Here is a 23,673-nt window from a genome sequence, read left to right on the forward strand (position 1 = left end):
GCTCACTCTTTGGGTCCACACTGCCTTTATGTGCTGTAACACTCACCGCGAAGGTCTGCAGCTTCACTCCTGAGCCAGCAAGACCACGAACCCACCAGAAGGAAGAAACTCTGAACACATCCGAACATCAGAAGGAACAAACTCCAGACGCGCCACCTTAAGAGCTGTAACACTCACCACGAGGGTCCGCGGCTTCATTCTTGAAGTCAGTGAGACCAAGAACCCACCAATTCCAGACACAATAGGAGATTCAAGATTTGAGCAAAGTCTGTGTAGACCAACAAGCTATAGAGACATTTCTTTATAAATAATTCTTTCTAGTGAGGCAGGTTATTCTATGAGGTCAAATTAGGCAGAAGAAATTTAGAAAAGCCCTTCAACATCCACTTGGCCTTCCATGTAGATAAATTATTCTTAATGGAGGTAGGGGGAGGGTTATTGCATCATGGTGTTTTAGAATTAGGAGTATGTGTAGCTTGAAAAACCACAGTCTCTAAATTTATTTTAAAATCCCCTAATATCTATAATTTTTATAGTACAAACCTCAGAAAGCTTGTCAAAATATTTTTGGCTGTCTAGTGGGAATACTTAGAAGATAGTGATTCTCTAACAAGTAACAGGAAAGTGAAAAAGGAGTGTCCAAAAGAATTAAGGATAGGTTGAAGCACGAGGTTTTTGTGTTGATCAAAAGATTTCAGGATATCTAAAAACAGAAATTTGAAAACAGAAATTAATGTAGAAACTTGGATGGGGTCTCTTCACCCACTTAATATTCGATATAATTGTTACTAACAACAATATAAGGAGACTGGGTCTGGGCATAGAACTATGTGAAACAAACAGGCAGGTGATGCCAAAATTCAGAAACTTTCTAGGCCAGGACCTTCACTGCTAAGGAAGCCATTCATAGACTGTTACTTTGTTATTTACTCTTTTTACATTTTGTTAGTTTCTTCTCCACACCATTAGCATAGAAAAACACAAGATGACTGCAACGTCAATATGACAACAAGGAATGATTCCGCTGGCTGGAGTCGTGCTGTGATCTTGTCAGTCACAGGATTCTGATAGGAGACACTGTCCCCAAAGGTTTCTACCACACGGAGAACACATGGTAGGTAGCAAATTTAAGCAGGTTATATACCCAACCTGGACTTACCTTCTTGTCACGCAAACCCCCAAATGGCTTACTTTTAGGATTCTCGTATAAAAAAGCTGAACAACACTGATGTGTGAATTAGTGAAGGTCAATGCTTGAGCTATATTTAAGGACCTGAGAGCCAAAAATAGTTTGTTTTCCAGTAAAATCCTTTTGTAAGCAACAGCTTATAAAATGTTACAATCACAGCTGTGCAGAGGGTACAGAGAGATCTGTGCCTATGACCACGAGATTGGCCTTGGAGAGGTCTCAGAATAATGATACCACTCTGTTGTAAGGAACGAGACAAGCAGAAGCAACGTCCTCTCATTTATTCCAACCTATCTGAGCACTCCCTGCCACTTCTGTCCATCTCAGTTTATCTACAGCCCCAGCCAGGATCTGCAAATCCCATTTAACCGTCATAGGTTATCATTGCTTAATATTTGTGTGTAGCTGTTGTCTTGGTGTTTGTTCTTTTACAGCTCTTCATGAAGGCTCTGAAGACAGGCCACACATCTCATCTTCAATTTACAAACGATGAGAGCAAACAAGACCCAGAAAAGGGAAAGGTTTGCCTAAAGTGTCATAGCTAATGTCAGAACCGTCTGCATCCAGGTTGTCCAGCCCCTTGTCTACACACTCACTATTGGTCCACAGGTTGCCTCAACCCGCCTTTCCTACCCACTACAGAACATTCTTCCTTCAACAGGTTCCTTTTCGGAGGACAGTCATTTGGTAAATTTCCACAATCATTATAGAAAGTACCTGCCCATCACCACAAAAGATCAGATGAGTCTGACTTTACTTTTAATCATTCTTATTATCTTGTGAGATGGGACGCTTCTTTAGATTTATTAATTCCCATAAATGAAGAGTTTGGCTCATGATAGCAGATTATTTGCTTTGGTCCTCCAAGCATAGGCTGTGTTGAGGCTGGAAGGAACAAGGATCAGAAACAAGCTGCTGTTTATCTCAGGGTAGCTTCAATTATCACAACCAAGGAATGCTGTCTTGCCTCTTGGGTCAATCACCTAGGGCATCATTCAAACCACACCTCACAGTCTTCAGTTTGGTGATAGTCTATAAAAAGTCGTTTGAGATTCCTATTTCTATTAAAAAAGTATTAATGTAAATGGTAAATTATAGATTTATAAAATGTAAGCAGTAAGATTTTGTAGGGGGTTTAGTCTACCAAAGTCTACAAATGCTCAGAATTTTTAAAAGATATCATATTCAAAAAATATTCAAAAACTCCCTCTAAATTACAGAAATACTGTTTTAAAAATACAAGTGGTCTATTTACATGTATTTCATTTTTACATCAAGGCCAGCTGAGCCATTAAAGTTGTCATACCTTTCATTTGTAGCTAATTCGTAAATACCTCTCTCCCTACATCTTTAAAAAGAGTAGTATTTTGCTAATAGTAACTAACAGTTCTTCTGCCTACTCCTCTGAGCTCAGAAGTTAAAATGATAGAGACATTTGGTCCATTTCCTTGCCCTAAACAGAAAATTTTCCATAAATGGTCATTTATCTTCTCTTAGCATTCTCTAAATGATCCATCTATTCTGCTGATGAAAAGCTCTGGAAATACTCAGGGTTCTGGTATCAGAACACAGTCCAAGGTTTACCTGTTATCTGAATGCAGGCCCCCCTATGCAGGCACATAATAGAATTTATCTTAAACAATAAAAACAGATTCTAATACCAGAGGCAGTATAACACAGAAGAAAGTTCTTAATTTTTGAAACAAACAAATGGGTTCAAACACTGACTCTGCCCTACCACTTAATTATCTATGTAATTTTGAACAAGTTACCTAATTCCTGAGTATTGAAGTTTAGACTTACCGTGTTTAGAGTTGTTGTGATACTTCAATAGGCTCATGAATATAAAGCATCTAGCAAGAACTGTACATGCAGGTGTTCAATAAATGTTTCCTGTGCTCCACTGTAGGTGTTGGTGCAACTTAGTAAGATTTTTAAAAATAATATTGTCAAAATGGATACTCCAAATGTGTAGATATATAAATCTAAACTTGAGACTAATTTGGAAACTGAGGCAATTTTAGTGAAAGCTAGAACAGCTACCCCAATCCATATTTTACGGATAAGGATATAAAATCAAAGAAACAAAATTTCAACTATATTCAAAGTTAGCCCCTTTTATCTTCTGTGATTAATTGGTGAGGCAGAAAATGGCAAGAGAAAAATATATCAATGCGCCCTCACCAAGGTCACATTAGGAGTCCATTCATCTTGAAAAGAGAGGGAGAGTGGTCCAGAGTGCAAACATTCTCATCTTAGCTGCCATACCAAATTAAGGCTATATATGTCTTTATACATCTTTGAACAACAGTGTATTTACATGATGGTTAATATTAGACTTTTCTGAGATTTCTTGCTTATTCTTAACCACACAAACCCAGTCATACGGTCTCTCTGATGATCGCTGAATGTCGAGACCCAACCGCGGAGAAAAACTGTCAATTCAAACTCAGAAAAATAGTTACATTAAATCAATATAAAATTTCAGTGTGATATAGGAAATGGTTTACGAAACATGCTGCTTTTGAACTTATTGCTAATAGCACTGGAAATGGGCATAAACTATTGTAAATTATTACAGCTTCAGTCCTAAAAAATAAAAATATATTTTTCCAGGTAATTAACATAAGGTAGAATTTTAGATATGTAATTCTCCATTGGTGAATATTTATTCTAAAGTGTTTAGATTATACATTCTTTGTTTAACTGTTGAAGAAATTATAGCATAAGAGTTGTTTTTTTTTTTTTTTTTTTTGAGATGGAGTCTCACTCTTGTTGCCCAGGCTAGAGTGCAGTGGCGTGATCTCGGCTCACTGCAACCTCCGGCTCCTGGGTTCAAGCTATTCTCCTGCCTCAGCCTCCTGAGTAGATGGGATTAGAGGCGCCCGCCACCACGCCTGGCTAATTTTTGTACTTTTTAGTAGAGACGGGGTTTTGCCATGTTGTTCAGGCTGGTCTCCAACTCCTGACCTCAGGTGATCCACCCGCCTTGGCCTCCCAAAGTGCTGGGATTACAGGCGTGAGCCACTGTGCCTGGCCAAGAGTTGCATTTTTAAAATTAACTGTTTTCCTCAAAGAGGGGCATTGATTACATCCCTGTAATAATCTAAAAAATACATTTGTATTTACCTGACATTAATAAAGAAACAGCAACAGAGATTGATCCCTATTCTTCCTTTAATATTAGTAGTAGCTAGTGCTCCATTTAATGACAGAAAGGCTTATCCTCTAGGCAAGACTGTGGGAGAGTGAAAGAAGTCTTTCCCAGATTCCTACCTGAAACAGTCATACCAACAGCCCCTTCAGTGACTCAGAGAAAGGTTCTGGAGAGAGCTTACCGGGATGGAACTTGAGGCACCTTCTCTAAAGACCACTGCTGAGCTTTGAAGCCACAGGAAGCCCCCAGACCCTGGGAGACCAACACCGCTGCTCAACACGCCTCCTGTTCCTTCCCAGCATTACCAGCAAAGGCTGAACTCCAACTCAGAAAATTCCTCTTGGTGAGGCAGTGATCTGATTCCAAACCACCAACGATTAGTTATGACCAGGGGGCTTAATTCTCCAAGGAAGTGCATTATAAAAGTCACCCCAAAGAAACCTCCAGTTGGTGATATAAAAATATGTGTGTGTGCTCACACTCATGTATGTGCGTGTGCCTGTGGTACACAAGTGACTAGGAGCTCCTAACGTCCTTTCCACTTTTCCCACCTCTCCACCCAGAAGTAAGATTAGCTACATATGCCTGCCTCTCATTTTCTCTGAAATAATTCTGTATAGTACTTTCAGAAATATTTTTTAAATGTCTGGTCCTGGCTCCACCCACTTCTAAACCAACCTTTACTGGCATCTTTGGATCTTCCATTTCAGAAGAGAAAGCCAGGGGACAGAGAATAACCTACTCTCAAAATAGGTGAAACCAGCCTCATTAGAGAACTGAAGGCCCGTTGAGTAATAGCTTGTAAATACCCCCCGATCAAAAAGTCAGCCATGAATAATGTTAAAATTATGACTCCAGCCTTAAGGCATTGTATTCTGTGCTTGAAACAGAAGTGATTTTAACCGATCTTCTGAACTTCAGGAGGACAGACTGGTTAGTAACTCAATGATTTGCTTAAATTTCAGATAAGAAAAGGTATTGGACTACATCCCATTTCTAGCCCTCTCAGCATCTGAGCCAAAAGTCCGAGGTTATAGTACCAATAGGAAATTCCAGGAATTTTTTAAAGGATTTTAAAATTACTAGAGCCCAGAGGCCTCTGGACCTTTTTCGAGACGTTTAACCAAGAATTTGTAGAGTGATCTTCACTAGGACTAGAAGTGGCAAAAACAAAACAAAACAAAAAACAAAACAAAAACAGGGCCAAGAGGATCTTTGAAACTAGTTTCTTTTTATGCCTGTAATGGAGTTTTGTCTGAAAACATGGCACGTAAAATATTGCAAATATTGCTAAGTGTATTTGAGACACTAGTTCAGAGAATAGTTATGGTCGTTTATAGCTTAAAGAAACAGCTGTTGTAATATGCTTGCTACTTTGATGGTTTACAACTATTTTAATCTACAAAGTGTAATGTAATGGTCAAAGTATCATACATTTTTAACAGGCTTTAGTAGAAGCATAATTATTATAGAGGCTATTTTTTTTGAATCAAATCAGATAGCATAAACCAGCTCTTAGATAAAATACACGGTAACCCTGATATCTGTCCCGAGAAAGAAAAGAGGCACACAACAACGGCAATAGTTTAAATATACTGAAGTAGTTTGGTATACCAGTTTAAATATTTTGATGAGCCAAATTCAAACTGGCTAAAATAACCCAAGTGTTGACTCATTTAACTAGAAAGTCTAGTGGAGATCTCAGATGTGGCGGGTGTGGTAGGTCATGTTTTAATTCCCAGCTCCCATAACGCCATCCAACGTCAGCTTCATCCTAAAGCTAGCTCTAGTCAAGATTGCGTGATACAAGATCAGAAAACCAAACGCCACATGTTCTCACTCTTAAGTGGGAGTTGAACAATGAGAACACACGGACACAGGGAGGGGAGCATCACGCATCGGGGCCTGTCGGGGGGTAGGGGGCTGGGGGAGGGATAGCATTAGTGACGGGTTGATGAGTGCAGCACATCACCCAGGGCACGTATATACCTATGTAACAAAACTGCACGTTCTGCACATGTAACCCAGAACTTAAAGTGTATTAAAAATAAATACACAAATAAATAAAGATCGTGTGATAGTTGTCAGTAGCAAAAGAATCCAAATGCTTTCTCCTCCATATCCAGGGAGAGTGTATGTTTCTGTCCCAGCATTCCAGTTTGGAACGCTGAGCGTGTCCCTGACTGGAGCGGCTTACATTCTGTGTCGCTTGTTAATGTTGTGGCCAGGGAGATGGTTTGTGCAGATCAGCTTTTCCAATTATGACGCGTTTTCAGCACTAGGGATGAAATCATTTCCTGAGAAGGACAAGGATGATGTGGCGGATAGACATTAGTAGTAAAACTGGGGAAAGAGGAAGACTGAATGTTGGTTGTTCACTATATGGACAACTGGTCCGAAAGACACTAGCAAGCCCATGGCTGTATTTATTGAAAATTGCTGTTAGTATAATACTAATAAGAAAATATACTAATATATAAATATACTAATATAATACTAATAAGAAAATAATTCCCAGATTACAAACAACAACAAAATTTCAAGGCCAGTATGTTTCTTTTTTTATTATTTTTGTGTTTGACTTAGATGGTTGAAATGTTTTCATTTTTCATTTATAAGCATTACATTAATTTCCATGCAAAAACCCAAGATCGCATATGTCTGATTTCAATTGGCCAAAATCCAACCCTTGAGTTTGGACATTCAAGACCAAAATGAACACGTTACTTGCCCTTTCTATGAGTAGACATCATGGGTGTCCTTTGAAAGATCAGCAGGCCTCCTGACCTCTTAAACACCAGCTTGCCATGAGTCCACACCAAAACAGGGAGCCAATACCTTCCAGCACCTAATCAGGCAAGTAACTTCACTCATGAAGACAGGACACCTCTATACCAAGGCTGCCACCCACAGATATTTCCTGGGTGCTGCTCTATAGCAATACCTGCTTTTGAACAGACGTGGTATCTTCTATTTGGGGATTATAAGTTCTTCCTGCCAGTTTTTCTCAAAACTCTCAGGAAGAGTAGAGATTTTACAAAAAAGCTTACCTCTATGACCCCAAAAGAAATAAATACAAAGACACCTACTTCATCAAGTGTATATTTTCCCCAGCTTTAGATGGGGTCAACATGTATAAAGCTTTAACAACTTCTCTCAGTAAGACAGGAACCAGGAATATCAAAGAGGGCAAAGCAGGACCCCACAACTGAAGGAGAACTAAGCAAATGCAAAGAATCATTTCACTGATAGAAATGGGCAAAATGAAAAAATGATAGAATTTCGAGAGTGGTTGTTAATTTATATTGAAACACACTTTGCAATTCTGACAATGGCAAAGATTAGTGCAAATAATAATTATAATGGTATGTTCTTTAATAGGATTTAAATAAGGCTTCAAATAATTACATATGCTAAAATTAACATTTGGAAACCTTAATTCTGCTTGGAAAACTGTCAAAGACACCCTTCAAACCACCCAGTGTTCTCTGATTTGAGGACAATTACATTCAATGAAGTTGCTCCAAAACACAATTTGTAGTATTATCACTTTCAAAGTTTACATTGTTTGGTGGAAAAGGGGGGAAACTACTCTGGTCACTGGCCAAAATAAATAAATCCAGCTAACATGCCAAGTAGTTCCCAGGTTCATATGATTCTCAAATATCAGTAGTGGTGAAAGCTCATAAGAAAAAAGACAAAAACAAAATAATAAAAATAATAGGATAGAATCGTTAAGCATCAGAAAGAGATTTGTTTCCCCATACCCATGAACAAATTTGCACCAAGTATGAAACAGAAAAAAGCAAGAGGATTCATGGGCATTTTCATCTATGGCTTAAGATCTCCTTAAAAAGAAAAAAAACTCCAACAAACTAAAGAGCATGACAATAACTACAAAAAGTAAACAACGAAATCAGAGGCAGAATATGAAATAGTAATATACTGTTTCAGAGCCTGCACCATCCTGCAGAACCAGGAAACTTAAAATTTGTTCTTAACAAATCCAATCTAGGCTGGATATGTAAAAAACAGAAAGATAGCATCACAAACCACACGACACATTATCAGAGTTTAAGAATCAGGAAAAAAAAAAGTCAGCTAACACTCAGAAAAATTTGTCATCAATTCTGAAATGGGGCCTTGTGACATCGTCAGGATTGATAAAGACAGAGATTGACTTTCCCGGGTTCTCAGTCACTAGCTGCTGCAGTTTTTTTGCCAAACGGTCATCAGGCTGGTTGGGGTCCCCTCCGTCAGACTGTGGAGAGGGGATGCTGGTGGTGCTACCTCGCCTCTGGAGCTCCAGTGTCAGCCGGTTGGCTGCCTTGACATGCTCAATGGCGGTGCGCAAGTGCTCTGCCGGGTCTGAGCGCACAGAGGACAGCTTCCGGGCGTGAAGCATGACTGTCTCCTCAGACAGATGTTCCAGCATGTTGCACTGAGGGATGAAATAATTGGGGCACATCTTGTTGACCAGACAGTGTTGCAGGTCATCGATGAGGCCCAGCAAAAAGTGGGCTGCATAGTCTTCTTGAGCCAAGTAGTTGGCAGGAAGTCTGTCGCAGGCCCAGAGCATCATGCTCCGCAGGTGATAGGGGCTAATAGCCTTGGGCCGGGACAGCAGTTTAATGATGATGGCTTTGCAGGCCTGATAGGCCTGCATGAGGCTGCTGGAGATGCACTTCTTCAACTGCACCTCGCTCCTGGCAAAGGACAGCCGCCATTCATTGTCCTTCTTACCCTTGTAGGAGCAAGCAGGCACCAAGTAAAACCCACTGATGACCTCTTCCTCAGTAATCTTCCCATCCCAAAAGTGGTTCTCCATGAGCCAGCTCTGGGCCACTGCAGGCCAACCTTTGAAAGATACCACAGGGACAATATCATACAACATGCGACTACTCCCTACACCCAGAATGATGGAGATGATGGTCCCATTTTTTTCCACCTTTTCTACCTTTGGCATCCCTCGCTGGGGTTTCTTCTGTATTTCTGATAGGACAATGCTGATAGAGTCATAGAACCAGTCAGCCACTTTGGTAGGTGAGAAGAAGTAGTTGGTGGCACCATTGATGTGATCTACAATGGTGCAGCAGTCTTTCCATTTACTGATTGTCCCCTCATCAAAGAGCCGAAGGCTCAGCCAAGAGTGGCACAAGGCTGAGTGGCGCATGTCGAGTGTCACAGGCTGATTACGGTCATGCAGCTTGAGGGCTGGCACCAAGAGGGTAAAGTCCATATCATAGTCAGTACCCCGGGCATAGACATTAAGCTCATCTAAGTCCAGGTCCACCACGCCTTCCCGGACACCTCCAGAGAGCAACAGGTATTCATTAGCCACTGGAAGCTTTTGGTCCAGCTTTTGCACCATTCCTGGAAATAAAGAAGAAAAAAACAACACTATTACAGGAAACACAGACATAAGAGTCTTATGCATGAAACAGAATGCTCTGATGTTCCAAGAACCAAAACTCATTATCAGTACTAAATCAAATCTCAGGCTGCTGCAGAGACCTGGCCAACAGTACTTTCTCACTAGTGCTAGAATCCACCCTTTTCCAAATGCAAGAATTATGATAGATTTTTCTCTCTCAGTGTGAAAAGCAGTATCGTTTTCAATAATAAAACAGGGCCCCTCTTCCCCCAGTCATCATCTCAGTTAATGGAATTGCCATCCACTCAGTTATGCAGACTGAAAACCTCAGTACATTTCAACTCTTTGCTGCCCTTCTACTGCCAAATCTTTTCCATGGAACCTCTGCCAGGGTTTCTCACTTCCTTCCCTGTTCTCCATCTCTCCTGCCATCATATGAAGTTCGGCCTTTTTTATCTATTGCCTAAGCGGTTTTCTTTCCCCAGGCTCTTTGCGCTTACACTCTTCTTTGTACCAGCGGTTCTCAGTGTGGGCTGGAGACACTTTCAGGGGTAATGAGTTCATAACTCTCTTTATAATAATACTAACACACTGTTTGACTTTTTTTTTAAGAGACAGGGTCTTGCTATGTTGCCCAGGCTGGTCTAAAATTCCTGGCCTCAAGCAATTCTCCTACCTCGGCTTCCCCCAAGTGCTGGGATTACAGGCATGAGCTACCACGCCCAGTCTTGTCTGACTTTTTTACTGTGTTGCCATTGTACTAATGGCACAGAAACAAGGGAGGATAATATTGCCAGTGCCTTAGCAGCAAAGACACTGATGCCAAACTGTACTAGCAGTCAGTAGGTTCTTTACCACTGACATGCATTAGCAATTTTTTTTTAAAAAACCCAGTTTTACTTAAGAAAATCCTTGATGGAGAAGAAAAATAAGTTATTTTATTGAATCTCAACCTCTGAGCCATTAGAAAGACTATCTTCCTAATAGTCTGTGTGATGAAATGGAAATAACCATAAAACCCGTCTTCCTCATACTGAAATAGGAAATCTGTCTTCAGGAAAAGCACTCACGTAACTGAGTTGTGAGCTGAACTAGCCTCTTTGTTCATGGAACGCCATTTTTACTTTAAAGAACAACAGAAAACTATGGCTATTTAGATTTGGGTATTTGGTAGACATTTTCTTCAGAAATGAACAAAATGAGCCTGGCTTCAAGGAAACTACTGACAATATTTATTGCCAATGATAAAGCTGAAATTTCTAAGGGAAAATTAAATTTAGAAAACTCCGCACCATGAGCGTGACATCTTCTCGAATTGTATACGTTTCTGATTAAATTGGCGATGATATTAACAAATGTGATTTTTTAAGAGATTGTGGGTCCTTTTGAGAACCATGTCTCATGTATTAAGCAGGTATAGAAGACTCCGTGCATGCAGTAGGAACATAATTCAAGCTATGACTAAATGATAAGGGAAAAAATGCATGAAATTAATAGGTAGATAGCATTAATAGATGGAATTAACATAAATTCTTAAAGGCTAGACTTAAATGACTGTTCCATAAACAACATATACATTTTCCCTCCTTCATTATATACTTGCTTACGCTTGATTCTCTGACAAACTACCAGCGTCATCCTGTGATTTATTTAACAGTGTTTCCCCAAAGATCAAGACCTACCACAAAGTATTATAATATTCCATTATTCATTATAATTCATAGTTTGCTCTTCATAGGACAATCCCAAATCAAATAAACCATATGCCTGTGTTTTCTTACTATTATTGTTATACTCTGAACGTTCGTGACTCCCACTCACATGTTGAAATCCCAACTTTCAATGTGATAGTATTAGGAGCTGGGGCCTGTGGTAGGTGATCAGGCGTGAGAGTGGAACCCTCATGAGTGGGATTGGTACCCTTATAAAAGAAACCTCAGAGCGCTTCTTTACCCCTTCTGCCATGTGAGGACACAGTGAGAAGACAGCCATCTATGAACCAGGAAGCTGTCCCTCACCAGACAATGAATCTGCAGGCACCTTGATCTTGGCTTTCTTGACATCCAGAATGGTGAGAAATAAATCCCTGCTGTTTATAAGCTACTCAGTTTAGGTACTTTGACATAACAGCCTGAATGAACTAAGACAATTATACTTTAAAATTTAACGCTCATTTATTAAAATATGCTCTTTAAAATCCTATTTTCCAAACCACATTAACCATGAAAAAGTCTTTTATTTAGTACAATTCTTTACACACAGAAATATGGCAAGTTATCATTTTCTTTTTAAAACCGTAAGTTAGCCAACATTATAGTGTCAACAATTCATCAGAAAGAACATCCAACAAACCTGACTTCTTGGCTGTTTCTCACACTATCTGCACTGTGATACGGCATCCAGGTCCCTCTTCAATAAAGGACTTCCAGCTGCTTAAATGCTAGCCCTTAAGGATTGTCTCAGCTGCAAAGGGCTGTCTTAGCCAGGTCAGGTCCTGTGGCTGGGATGGGGGTTGCAGGTGCACATCCAATAACTGATCGGTGTGGGAGTGTCCCAGCTCAGGATACTCTGAAGGGCCACTCAAACTCTGAGTTCCCAGTGGGGTTGGCTGTGGCGAATGATGCGCCTGCAGGGAAGCTCAGCTTCTCCTACTTGAACCTGCTTCCTTCCCCACTTCGACAGGTGTAGATCCCAAGGGTGCTGCTTCATAAACATCCTAACTCCATTTCAGAGGCTGCGTCCTGAGAAACCCAACATACTACACTAAATACTATCCAAGCAAAACAGAAGATACTACCTACTACCCAAACAAAAACCGTCTTCAGCATGGAAAATATGTTTTTCCTTTTTAAAGTGTTTTCTTTTTTAAAGCCAAACTTAATCCGGATTGAAAGTTCTTATAAATGCCAAGACAAAGATCCATTTCTCAAATGTCATTATGTTTTAATATTAACCTCATCTTTGCCATGTAAAGAAATACTACCATCCCACGTTTTGGTTATTGCTTTAAAGGATAAAATTGATTTCTCAGATTCCAGATTAGGTTGTGAAAATCATTTTCATTATTTTATGAACTCACATGTTGGAACAGTCAGTTTCAGTGAGATATATTTGATAATGAAATCGTTTACTCTTCATTATTTCAAACATCCTTTCATTCTACCATTCAGAATACCATAAATATACGTGAGAAGTACTGTGAAATGCTGTGTTGTGGTTAGTAAATAAGATCTGAATCTATTAAAGTGATATTGTTATTTGAGTACACACTGTTGTCTCCTCTTAGGCGTAACTAACTCAAAATCCTATATATGCTTTTGTCCTGGACAGAAGCAAACTGGCTTTGAGCCCACCAACTAAGACTCGTCTATATAATCAGGGTAACTTGTGCATTAACAACCTGGAGATAATTTGTCTACAAAAGTGCCACTGAATTTTGCCTTGGATTGTTACAATCTTGTTTGGAGAGTCTTGGGTAAGCCATAGCTAAAACTCCCTTCTGCCCTCTGCTGGATTTAAGAAGTTTTAACCTGTTTTCACTTGTCAATATACACACTAGAAAATTCCTGCCAATGATAAAAGGTTCTCTTTCCTCTCAATGATGCTTATGCATCTCGTTAAAATGTTGACCCTTTATTCAAAGGAGTCAACATCAAGTATTTGGCTAAATTCTAATATTCAGGAGATAGGGTAATTTTGAACACTTCTTATTCCTTTTAAAGTGAAGAAAGCCCTTTAGTAGCAGAAAGAGTATTGCAGACACACATTTACTAAGCCCCTATAAGAAACAAAGTCCCTAAGGCCACACTGTTCCAGAAGCTAATCCCTTCCTACATCCACATTTCCATTTAGCCTCCCTGAGCCCATTAGTCTGCAATTTTACAAACGATATGGTAACAGAACTCGAGCCTTCCCCAGCGTTATACAAGCCCAAATGTCTTCCTTGAAAACTTTCCTGGGCTAAGTTTAAGTGAAAATGAGCTGACATCAGCTATCATGGCAGATGGGTTGCCATGCAACCAAAACACAGGGCTGGAAGGGAAAAAGACAGAGGAGGGAAAATTTTCAACTGTACGCTTTGGCTGTAGGGATCAGTTCCAACAAGTGCCATCTCTGCAATGATCCGAGGTTTTCTGTGTAATTACTGGAGGATAAGATCTAGTGACTCTGGCTGTTTAGCTGTTAGATTATCCAAAGCTATGAGTGGGAACAGAAGGAAGATGCACATACACCACTGAGCTTGTTAGCAGCAAAACAAAAAAGGAAGGATAGAGGATAGCTATTCCCTTGGGTGGGTCTCTTCTTTTCATGGAGGCACTGGCATATGCTTGTTCTTAAGTAAAACTGCCACTCAACCTCTTTTCCTGTAATTCACTGTTTCTTGGTTTTGATATATTTCAGAGTTTTTACTTAAGAATATCTTAATAGTACCCTTTTATATAGATACTCAGGTCCTAAGTTTAAGGAATGTGTTTCACGTCATGCTTTCAGTTATTTACTGATTATCTTTAGAATATCAAGTGAAAAATGGAACTCTGTCCCTGACTTATGTTCTAGTGAATAAAACTATATCATATTCCACTAAATTGAAACTGCAAACCTTCATCATGCAAACATATAATGCCAGATTGCTAATACTAGAGCACAAAAACTAAGTATGATTTCTTGTTGTCTTTACAACCCCACCCCAGTAAGTCTGTGAAAACTCAGAGAGTTCAAGAAATACTAAGTAGGTAAGTCAAAATAGTACCTGTATAGACTTCTTTAAAACAGATACACACACACACACACACACACACACACACACACACTTACATATGTTGAAGGGAGAAAGGTTTATAAAAGAAGTAAAATTTTTATGTCTTATAATTAAAGTTACAAAATTAGATAAATTTTATCTTTTTATATACCTTTGACTATATGCCTGAATATCTCAGTAATAGTCATTGTTTCATATAAAAGAGTTTCCTTTTTTAGCTCCAACTCATGTAGCACATACCAGTAACAAACAGTGCCTTATTCCAGCAGTGGGTTTTAATGGCAGGAAGGGTACACGGTGTGATGATGTTGACAAAGTCCTTCTTTCATTCTGATGCATCCCCTAGGGTAAGTCTCCTTGGTTGACAATAAACAATATAAAACCTTCCTATAAAAATATTATGGTTTATGTTTCCAGGGTGGAAGTATTTTTGTCAAGCTTACCTGACATTCTGAGGAACGTCTGAGATGTGGGCATAGCCACCTTTTTCTAAGAAAGTCACTAATCCATGAAATTCTTAATGACCCCAGTTGGAAAAGATTTTAGGCCTTTCCTCGTTCATGCCCAGAAATCATCTATCTGAAGAAAAAACTGGTTCCAAGAGGAGAAATCACTCATGTGGGGTCATACGGCCTTAGTGACAGATTACCAGCATTGTTGCATTCCAACATTTGCGCAAAGACCAGAATAACACATATGTCCTGATCTCCCCATGACAATGCACAATGGCTTAAGAGGGAAGTAGCAGAGGTCTCAGGGCAATGTGCCAGTTTTTCATTTTTATTGGTCAAATCTTTAGTGGGACCTGGGACAACTGGCAGAACATGTCTGACCATCCACATTTATCATAAAGAAGAATGGGCCTGGTCTGCCTTGATAGAGCCATTAGTATTCCCAAATAGACTGTAAGACCCTGGAAATACAGAAGACAAAAACGGAGCTTTCCAGTTTTTCAATAATATTCTGAGTTATTAGTACTCACAATTAGGATAATATGTTTTATATGTCAAAGAGTCTGCTTTATTTTGCATAATTTGAGACAACTGCATATAATTTTATTTTTTTAGAAGACTGATTAATTCACGTATGGTAATGGTAATGCCCTATTGACCAGAATATATATATAGTAACAGGGCTGATTTAAAAGATGTCACTCCAAAGGAGTCTTTCTTAGTATTTCCCCATTTTGACACTGATATGTACGCAAGAACACTGGACTCAACATAGGCTTGGGCTTGGATCCTGGGCTTGTCATTTACTATTCAAGTGAGGCTAACAAATTACTTAACCTCTCTGAGTTTCCAATTCCTTATCTATTAAAAAACAAACAAATTGATGAAAAGTAAGTAAACGCATATAAAAACCCACCCTTACAGGATTGCTATGAAGTGTCTAAGCGCATCGTAGATATTTAGCTCATGTTCCCCATATGTTCTTCCCTTTTCCTACCACACATAAACTGGAAGAGCAAATAAACACAGATTCCACGGAGTTATTTTAAAGATTTAATTAAACAAGATAATCTATTTAAAGCCTCTAGCACATGCAAGGCACACAAAACATGTTAGATGAAGGGAAATGAATGAAGTATTCTCTCCCCTGGCTGTACCAAGACTGCTGCTAGTCAAGGCTGCTTCCTCTGAGTGAATGCCATCGTGTGGCACGACACACAGGGTGGCAGGCAGAGGGCAGGCTGGATTCTAGCTCTTTCTTGTCCTCTCACCCAGGTACCCCATGGAATGAACAACCTGTACATCCTAGTGGAGGGTCTTGACCTGAACTAAATTAGCACTTTCGACATCTACTGTCATTGTGGGCTGTGTTCATGGTGTATCTTTCTTCCTAAACAAGACAACAATACACAATCGTCCCTTGGTCCCAGGAGCTCCTACATATGCTGAAATGTGTCCATACTCAAGTCCCATAGCTGACCTTGTGGAATCCACTTACACAACAAGTTGGTCCTCTGTATAAGTGGGTTTCATATCCTGCAAATAGTATATTTTCAATCTGTATTTGATTGAAAAATAGCCACCTATAAGTGGACCTGTGCAGCTCAAACCTGTGTTGTTCAAGGGTCAACCGTGAAGCATCTGGCACAGTAACTCACGAAAAGGCGTCACAAATGAAAGATCCTATCTTAGGTGACATCTATAACCTCCTTGTGGTCAACATTCTTTTGCTGCATTGCTAGTACAGACTTTAGATTAGAAGGCACCCGCTTTTTATGTATACCATTTCTTTCAATCAACCTGAATACCTCATTAACCGTAACCTAGGATTATGGAATTTGCCCTACAATATAATATGAAAGCCTGTCAGCATATGTTTACTAATCATCTAAAAGATGGGAAGAGAAAAATGCCTCTCTAATCTTCCATTATTTTCCTTCTTAAAAATTAAAACTGAAGGTCTTAAAAATTGGTGGGCTTTGTCAAAGTCTACTAAGCTATTTTAAACAGAATGAACATGAGTTAGACCTGGATTCGAGTCCAATTCATTTATGACCAACATCAACCACTGTGGGCCTTGGTTTCCTTAAACAAAATTGTAGAATAACAACTGGTACAAGTTTGTTGGGTGGCCACAGGAATAAAATGAGAAAATGCACAACAAATTTCTTAGTGTGTAGTTTTGTGCTTAGTTGGTAATCAGTGAACAGGGTTTGTTGGCACATGCATACACATATCGATATATTATCAATATATTTTTTCCCATCAAATAAATCCCGACCTTTCTTTTCAGTACTTAGGATAGTTTAAGAACTCATGGTTTTTGCCATTCAGAACTTACTGGCAAGACCCAATAGAGAGTCTTATTAGCCCTACCTAGCAGCTTCCCAAAGTCACAATAGGGTACAAAAGTTACAGACTGACAATTTACAAGGACAGTGTTCACTTCTGAAGGCTCATTCTTGAAAGGCCAAAAAAAAAAAAAAAAAGTGAAGAGCAAGAGTAATGGTGTTAAACAGCTACATAAGGATACAGAAATATATCAGGGATGACCACATTAATGCTCTCCTGATCTTCCCAAGAACCCATAAGCTTGTGATGGAGATGCTCTGAATGAAGTCAACTGTACCCCATCACTGACCCTTTGCCCAGGACCCAGCTGGGTCCGGTTTCCATTCCTTTCTCACGTTGAGATGTATATGTCAACTACTTAATTACTCCGAAACTGGAAAGCTGTGTTTAATTGGGGAGGAGAAGGGGGGAAGTCTACATTTTGGAAGAAAAATAATGAAGTAGGCCAAGTCTAAGAAATTGCAACAAGGATAAAGACAGGATTCAAAACTCAGATTTTACTTATTCACACAGTAAGTATGAGCGTCTCCTATGAGCCAGTGCTGTGCTAGACACTGAAGAGACAAAGGTGAAGAGAAACATACACCACCCCCACTGCATAATGCTGATGATTTAGTGAGAAAGCCAAATGTTAATTCTATCAATCAGGACAGGTGAAGTTATGCTGAGTAACAAAGCTAATATCTCAGTGACTCAAAACAACCAAGTTTTATTTTTCATTCACACTAGATGACCATCAAGGGTGAGTGGGGCGGGAGGGATTGGGGGCGCTTTTCTTTCCTTAACTTAGGACCCAGATGGGTAGAGCAAGCCATGTCTAGAAGGAACTTCACAGTCACTCTGCTGGAGGAAAAGAAGGCTCTGGGCATTCTCTTTTTGGCAGTTAAATGCTCTGGCATGCAAATGACATACATCATTTTCATACACAAATCATTGGTCAAAACTAGTCACATGGTCCCACCCTCACCCATGAAAGAAAGCACGATTCTACCACATGCTGGGAGAACTGGGAATCTGTGATATGCTGCATGAACAGCTCCCACACTAATCAGATAATCACACACGAATCAACATATGATTAGAAATTGAGATAATAGCACTGAATGAAATGAATAAGGTCCTAGCCAAAATGCACAAGAGGAAGAAGAGGAGTGAAAATTATTTAGCCTGAAAAATGGAAAATTCAAAAAGGCTATGAGAGCCATCTTCAAATATCTGATAAGCTGTGCTAGTACAGAAGAAATGGAATTTGCCTACATGGTTTCACTAAGCAGAACATATAGAGAGAAGTTTTCAGTGTAATGTTGTAAAGTCATCCATCCGGCAGAATTTTCTAGCAATGCTGCCTGTGGAGGCAGTACCTTTCCTATCCCAAGAGAGGATCAATCAGAATCTTCAGCAGGGATGGAGTCTCAGTATAGATGTCTTCCGAGGTGGCTGCCCATCCCAAGAACCTACTACTTAAGACAGACAACTATAACGTAGACTTCTATAGCCACCTATGACCATCCAGTGTGGGCCCAGTCACAGTGGCTGTAAGAAGACCATAATCTGAGCATTACGCCCAAAGGCTGGATGCTGCCCTTCCTTCTCATCTGGCCTACTCTATGTCATTTGTAAACTGCAGCCCTGCTGCTGTCACATCCTCCAGCCGACTTCACCAGTTTTACAAAGAGATAACTAGCACCAGCAATGACACACATAACAGCAAAAGAAGAGCTGAGTTTATAGTACACATTTGAAGTACATACATCTCATGACAAGGACTCTCTGAGAAGGGCACAAACATTCATGCCACTACCATGCACTACGGCACAGGCCAAATGCTTACCTGTGTCATCTCGTTCAATCTTCTTGGCCCTTTCAAGTGGGCAATAGTGTCCCCCTTCCCTTTTTTTTTGACATGGAGTCTCGCTCTGTCCCCAGGCTGGAGTGCAGTGGCACAATCTTGGCTCACTGCAACCTCCATCTCCCTGGCTCAAGCAATTCTCCTGTCTCAGCCTCCCGAGTAGCTGGAACTACAGGCACGCATCACCACATCTGGCTAATTTTTGTATTTTTAGTAGAGATGGGGTTTCACCGTATTGGCCAGGATGGTCTGGATCTTTTGACCTCGTGATCCGCCTTGCCTAGGCCTCCCAAAGTGCTGGGATTACAGGCGTGAGCCACCATGCCCAGCCTAGTGTCCCCATTTTACAGATAAGGAAATTAAGAAAAATAGCAGCCAAATAAATTGTTTATGGCCATGATAGCTGACCTGGGATCCAAATTCAAGTTGATCCTATGCTGCTTTCCTGCATTAAATGGGCTTTCCTAGGAGAGAATAAACAATGTAATACCTTGGGCCTTTGGAACTGCCACATAAACTGTATAGGAAACAGTAAGTAGAAATTTATTTCTCCATCCAAAAATGGAACAAATTCTATTTTGGAGTAAACAGATTTCTAGAGCAGATTAAAAACTGACTTTAGTCATCTCTGGGGAATAAAGTATATGAGCAAATGGGTCAAGGATCATAGGAAAGAGACGATTATAGATGACATTATAAAAAGATACTTAGTGCTGAGACACACAGCTATGTGGGTGCACACGTGTGCGTGTGCATCTGTGTTGCACACTTAGCTCTTGGACAACTTTCAGAGAACATTCCACAAGTGTTTTAATCACAACAGCATCCCTGAAATTCTTTCAGGCTCCCAGAACAAACTCTGAAAATATTCCCACATATTCAGATGCGTAGTCTAATTTGTTATTTTAACCCAACATCAGAGCCTTAATTTGAAGGTCATATCCCCTAAGTTTATACTACTAGGTTGAGGAGACAGGTGGAGGTAGCCAGGAACATGACTGCCAAAAACATACTAACCACAAGGCCAGAAACTTTTATTGAACTCTAATGGAAGAAAGTCTTTTCCCTTTACAGACACAGCAGTACCTATTACAGTCACATTTTGTCTCTGTACAAAACCCTTATCGGGTACACTGGGACATGAAGAAAGAATTCTGTGTCTTCTCTAAAAACAAAAACTGGTATCCATCAAACTGTGATAAGAGATAATGCTCCTTGTAACAAGCACCCTAAAAAAAGGTGTCACTATCCATGTAAAAGAGACCTTGAATCGGTGATCTACATTACACATTTGAATTTGCTAAACTAGCTTTAAAATGATCCCAATTTATATAAAGAAGCCTCCTCTAAAGGACTTACAAACTATCGAATTTGCTAAACTAGCTTTAAAATGATCCCAATTTATATAAAGAAGCCTCCTCTAAAGGACTTACAAACTATCACTGGCTAGTCAAAGAAGACCCTGTCTTACTTTAGACGAGTTTACTAACTTGTTTTACTGTTTACTTTAGAAATTTTCAAACATATACAATAGTAGATATAATAGTAAAATAAATTCCCATGTATCCATCACCTAACTTCAACAATTATGTTTGCCATTCTTATTTCATTTATCCCATTTTTTTGGCATAATATGTTAAGGTAAATCCCAGACAACCTATCATTTTACCCATAAACATCACTTTCTCAATTAGACACAGACATTTGTCTAAAGACTTTTTAAGTATAACCACCATTCTCATATCTAAACAAAATTAATAGTTCCTATTATTACAGACCTCACTTGAATTTACATTTTTCCTAATATATGAGTATGCTTGTGTGTGTGTGTGTGTGCGCACGCACATGTGCGTATGACTTTGTTGATATCCTGCCCTGTGTCCCCAGCCCATCCCTGGGTTCACTTGCAGCTGTGACAGGCAGTCCCCGAGATGTTCCCAGCCCCTCTCCTCAAGTGCCAGTGACTCTGCCCCTCTGCCTAAGGGCATTCTCTCTCCAGCCACTGCCAGGAAGTGCAGGGGAGTTAATGCAAGAGAACTGACACCATTGGGGCGACTGTCAACCACTGGGGCAGAATCAGTAGATAAATGCCCTAGCTTCCCCAGACTCTGTGGGCGATTCTACATTGGGTTCTATACAACCTCTCAGATGAACCCATTCAATAGCTTATTAATAGACAGAATCTTTATTGGCTTTTCTCTCATCTGTCTCAATTGCTGTATTCCCTCACTCCTGTTTCTTTGTGTCACCTCCCAAGTGAACTACCACAGCAGAGTAATTCTTGTTTCTGGAACTGTAGTGGGTGGGGGGTGTAAAGCAGGGACAGACAGGCTCAGGTCTGTTAATAATTCTTGATGACATTACATTTCATATGGACAACTGGCCATGAGGAGCCTGGAAGCCTAAGCTACTGGTAAGGGATTACTTGCTCTTTCCCACAATCAGTTATAGATCCATTACAAGTCTTATAAAACTAGATCTGAGAACAATTCTCAAAAAGAGTTCATTAGCCTTCACAGATCAGCAAGCTTGCTTTTCTGTGCATTTACAGCTAGCATCTTCCTGATTATTTCTTGCTTTGTTGTTATCTCAATTCTCCTCACTTCCCAAGGGACATTTTAAGACCTCTGGAAAGCTTTGGAGAGGTGAAAATCCATATATTTTTCAGATACAGGCATTTCTTTCTTAAATTCCAAAGAGAACAATGGGGATTAAGGTTGGGGAGGGTGGATTAAAAAAAAGAACTCACTCCAGGAACCAACCATCAGAGTGGAGCTTTGTTCAAACAGACCTTACTTATACATGAAAGCCTCAAGCCAAATTTAAAGACCAAAACAAAGTTTCTCTTTCAGCCTCTGTTGAGGATTATTCTGTCTCTATTCCTCTAAATTGTACAGAAATACTTCTAAATGATATATTTAGTTTCTTCATTCAATCACCTTTGTCCGTACTTTCTTTTGTGTGTGTGCGTGTTTTGTTTTTTTTGCTTTTTTATTTTTTTGGAGATGGAGTCTCACTCTGTTGCTCAGGCTGGAGGGTAGTGGCACAATCTTGGCTCACTGCAACCTCTGCCTCCCAGGTTCAAGCAATTCTCCTGCCTCAGCCTCCCGAGTAGCTGGGACTACAGATGTGCGCCACCACGCCCGGCTAATTTTTGTATTTTCAGTAGAGACAGGGTTTCACCATGTTGGTCAGGCTGGTCTCAAACTCCTGACCTCCCAACTGGCCTCCCAAGCTGCTGGGATTACAGGCGTGAGCCACCATGCCCGGCCTGTACTTTTTTTAGTGTAGTGTTTACACTAATTATCAATTATGTGTTTACCTGTCAGTGTCCCTCTGATGACTTGTGTATCTCCCACCCTAACACAAGAGAAGTTCAGCAGAGTAAGCTGAATCAGTAAATAGATGGTGGAGCCTAATGACAAAGTTTTCTGAAATAAACTCTATCTTTATGGTGGATGAAACTGTCAGGTGATATACTTCGACTGACAACACTGTCATTGTGAGACATGATGAAAGACTCCAGATCCTCTATATCTGCAAGCAAGGGACTCATATCACATTCTCAGAAGAGATGAAGGAGAAGCTAGGGGCTTGTTCATGAACTATACTGTAACTACACAGACACGTCTCCTCTTGTTCTTTGAGGATAATTTAGCTCTAGGACATTCTCCAAAGCACCAATTTTTAGTCAACAACCTCATCAGGGAAGCAGGAGAAAAGTTACTATATAACTATAGTGTGATCTAAGATCAAAGTCTAATACCTAATTTCTAAAAAGATTAAAACCATGTATTTTTTCCCTTGATGCATACGTGGAGAACCTATAAATAAATGGATTCCTTACTAAGCCATTCCCAAAAACTGCCAGGAGATGGCATCCACACTCTACTCATTTACTAAGAGTTTCTAGCTGGGCTTGGACGTCTTACAATCTTAGAATAAAATCTTTGGGGAAACAAGCTGATCAACGGGCTAAAATGTGATAAGACTACATTAAAAGCATCAGTCCCAGGCCTATTTACTTTGAGGTTCCACCCAGTGACTTGTAACTTTTCTGTTTAGTTTCCCTGAGAAAATCCTCCTGATAATTTAGAAGCTGAAGGGATCATCTAGGTTGAGCCAAGACTGAAAGATGCTTTGTCTTGGCAAGCAACATGGCTGACAATGGGTTCCCAATGCATATTCAGGAGCTCTTTGCAAGGCAGAGTTGTCCGCTTGCACTTACTGCAGTTAATTTTTTTTTTTTTTTTTTAATGAACAAAGCTTCAGTTTCCAGGAATAAAAGAAAAAGAAGTCAGAGGAAACAGTCTTTGATGTTATGAGGCTGAGACACTACTCTTCCTTCAGGACTATTTCATTCTGACTATAAGTGAATAAATACATTGAAGACTTCAGGAGCTCAGAAGATTAATAAAAAGAAAATGTTTTAACCTATCTTCCATCAAGTCTAAATAAACAATATATATATTGTATGACGCTTTGCAGTTTCCAGAGAATGGCCACAATCATTTTCCCATTTGTTCCCTATAATTACTTGA

At 39.8% G+C, this 23,673-nt stretch overlaps 1 protein-coding gene across 1 annotated transcript in view, besides 1 other annotated feature; it reads right to left on the reverse strand.

Annotated features, from left to right (window-relative positions):
• Positions 493-1,692: an enhancer, noted in NCBI's record as "BRD4-independent group 4 enhancer chr3:192508213-192509412 (GRCh37/hg19 assembly coordinates)". NCBI's record gives its function as "activates an origin of replication core promoter dependent on BRD2, P300/CBP, MED14 and CDK7 cofactors, and independent of BRD4, by STARR-seq in HCT116 cells {active_cell/tissue: HCT116}" and the evidence as "EXISTENCE:reporter gene assay evidence [ECO:0000049][PMID:35650434]".
• The window catches only part of MB21D2 (Mab-21 domain containing 2), a 121,042-nt gene continuing 104,252 nt past the window's right edge, over positions 6,884-23,673 (reverse strand). The window contains exon 2 of the mRNA NM_178496.4: positions 6,884-9,719. Coding sequence (NP_848591.2) covers positions 8,455-9,719 — 1,265 coding nt within the window. The 3' untranslated portion in view covers positions 6,884-8,454. The remainder of the gene's footprint in view (positions 9,720-23,673) is intronic.

Source organism: Homo sapiens, chromosome 3, assembly GCF_000001405.40.
Source record: "Homo sapiens chromosome 3, GRCh38.p14 Primary Assembly".
Classification (NCBI taxonomy): Eukaryota; Metazoa; Chordata; class Mammalia; order Primates; family Hominidae; genus Homo; species Homo sapiens.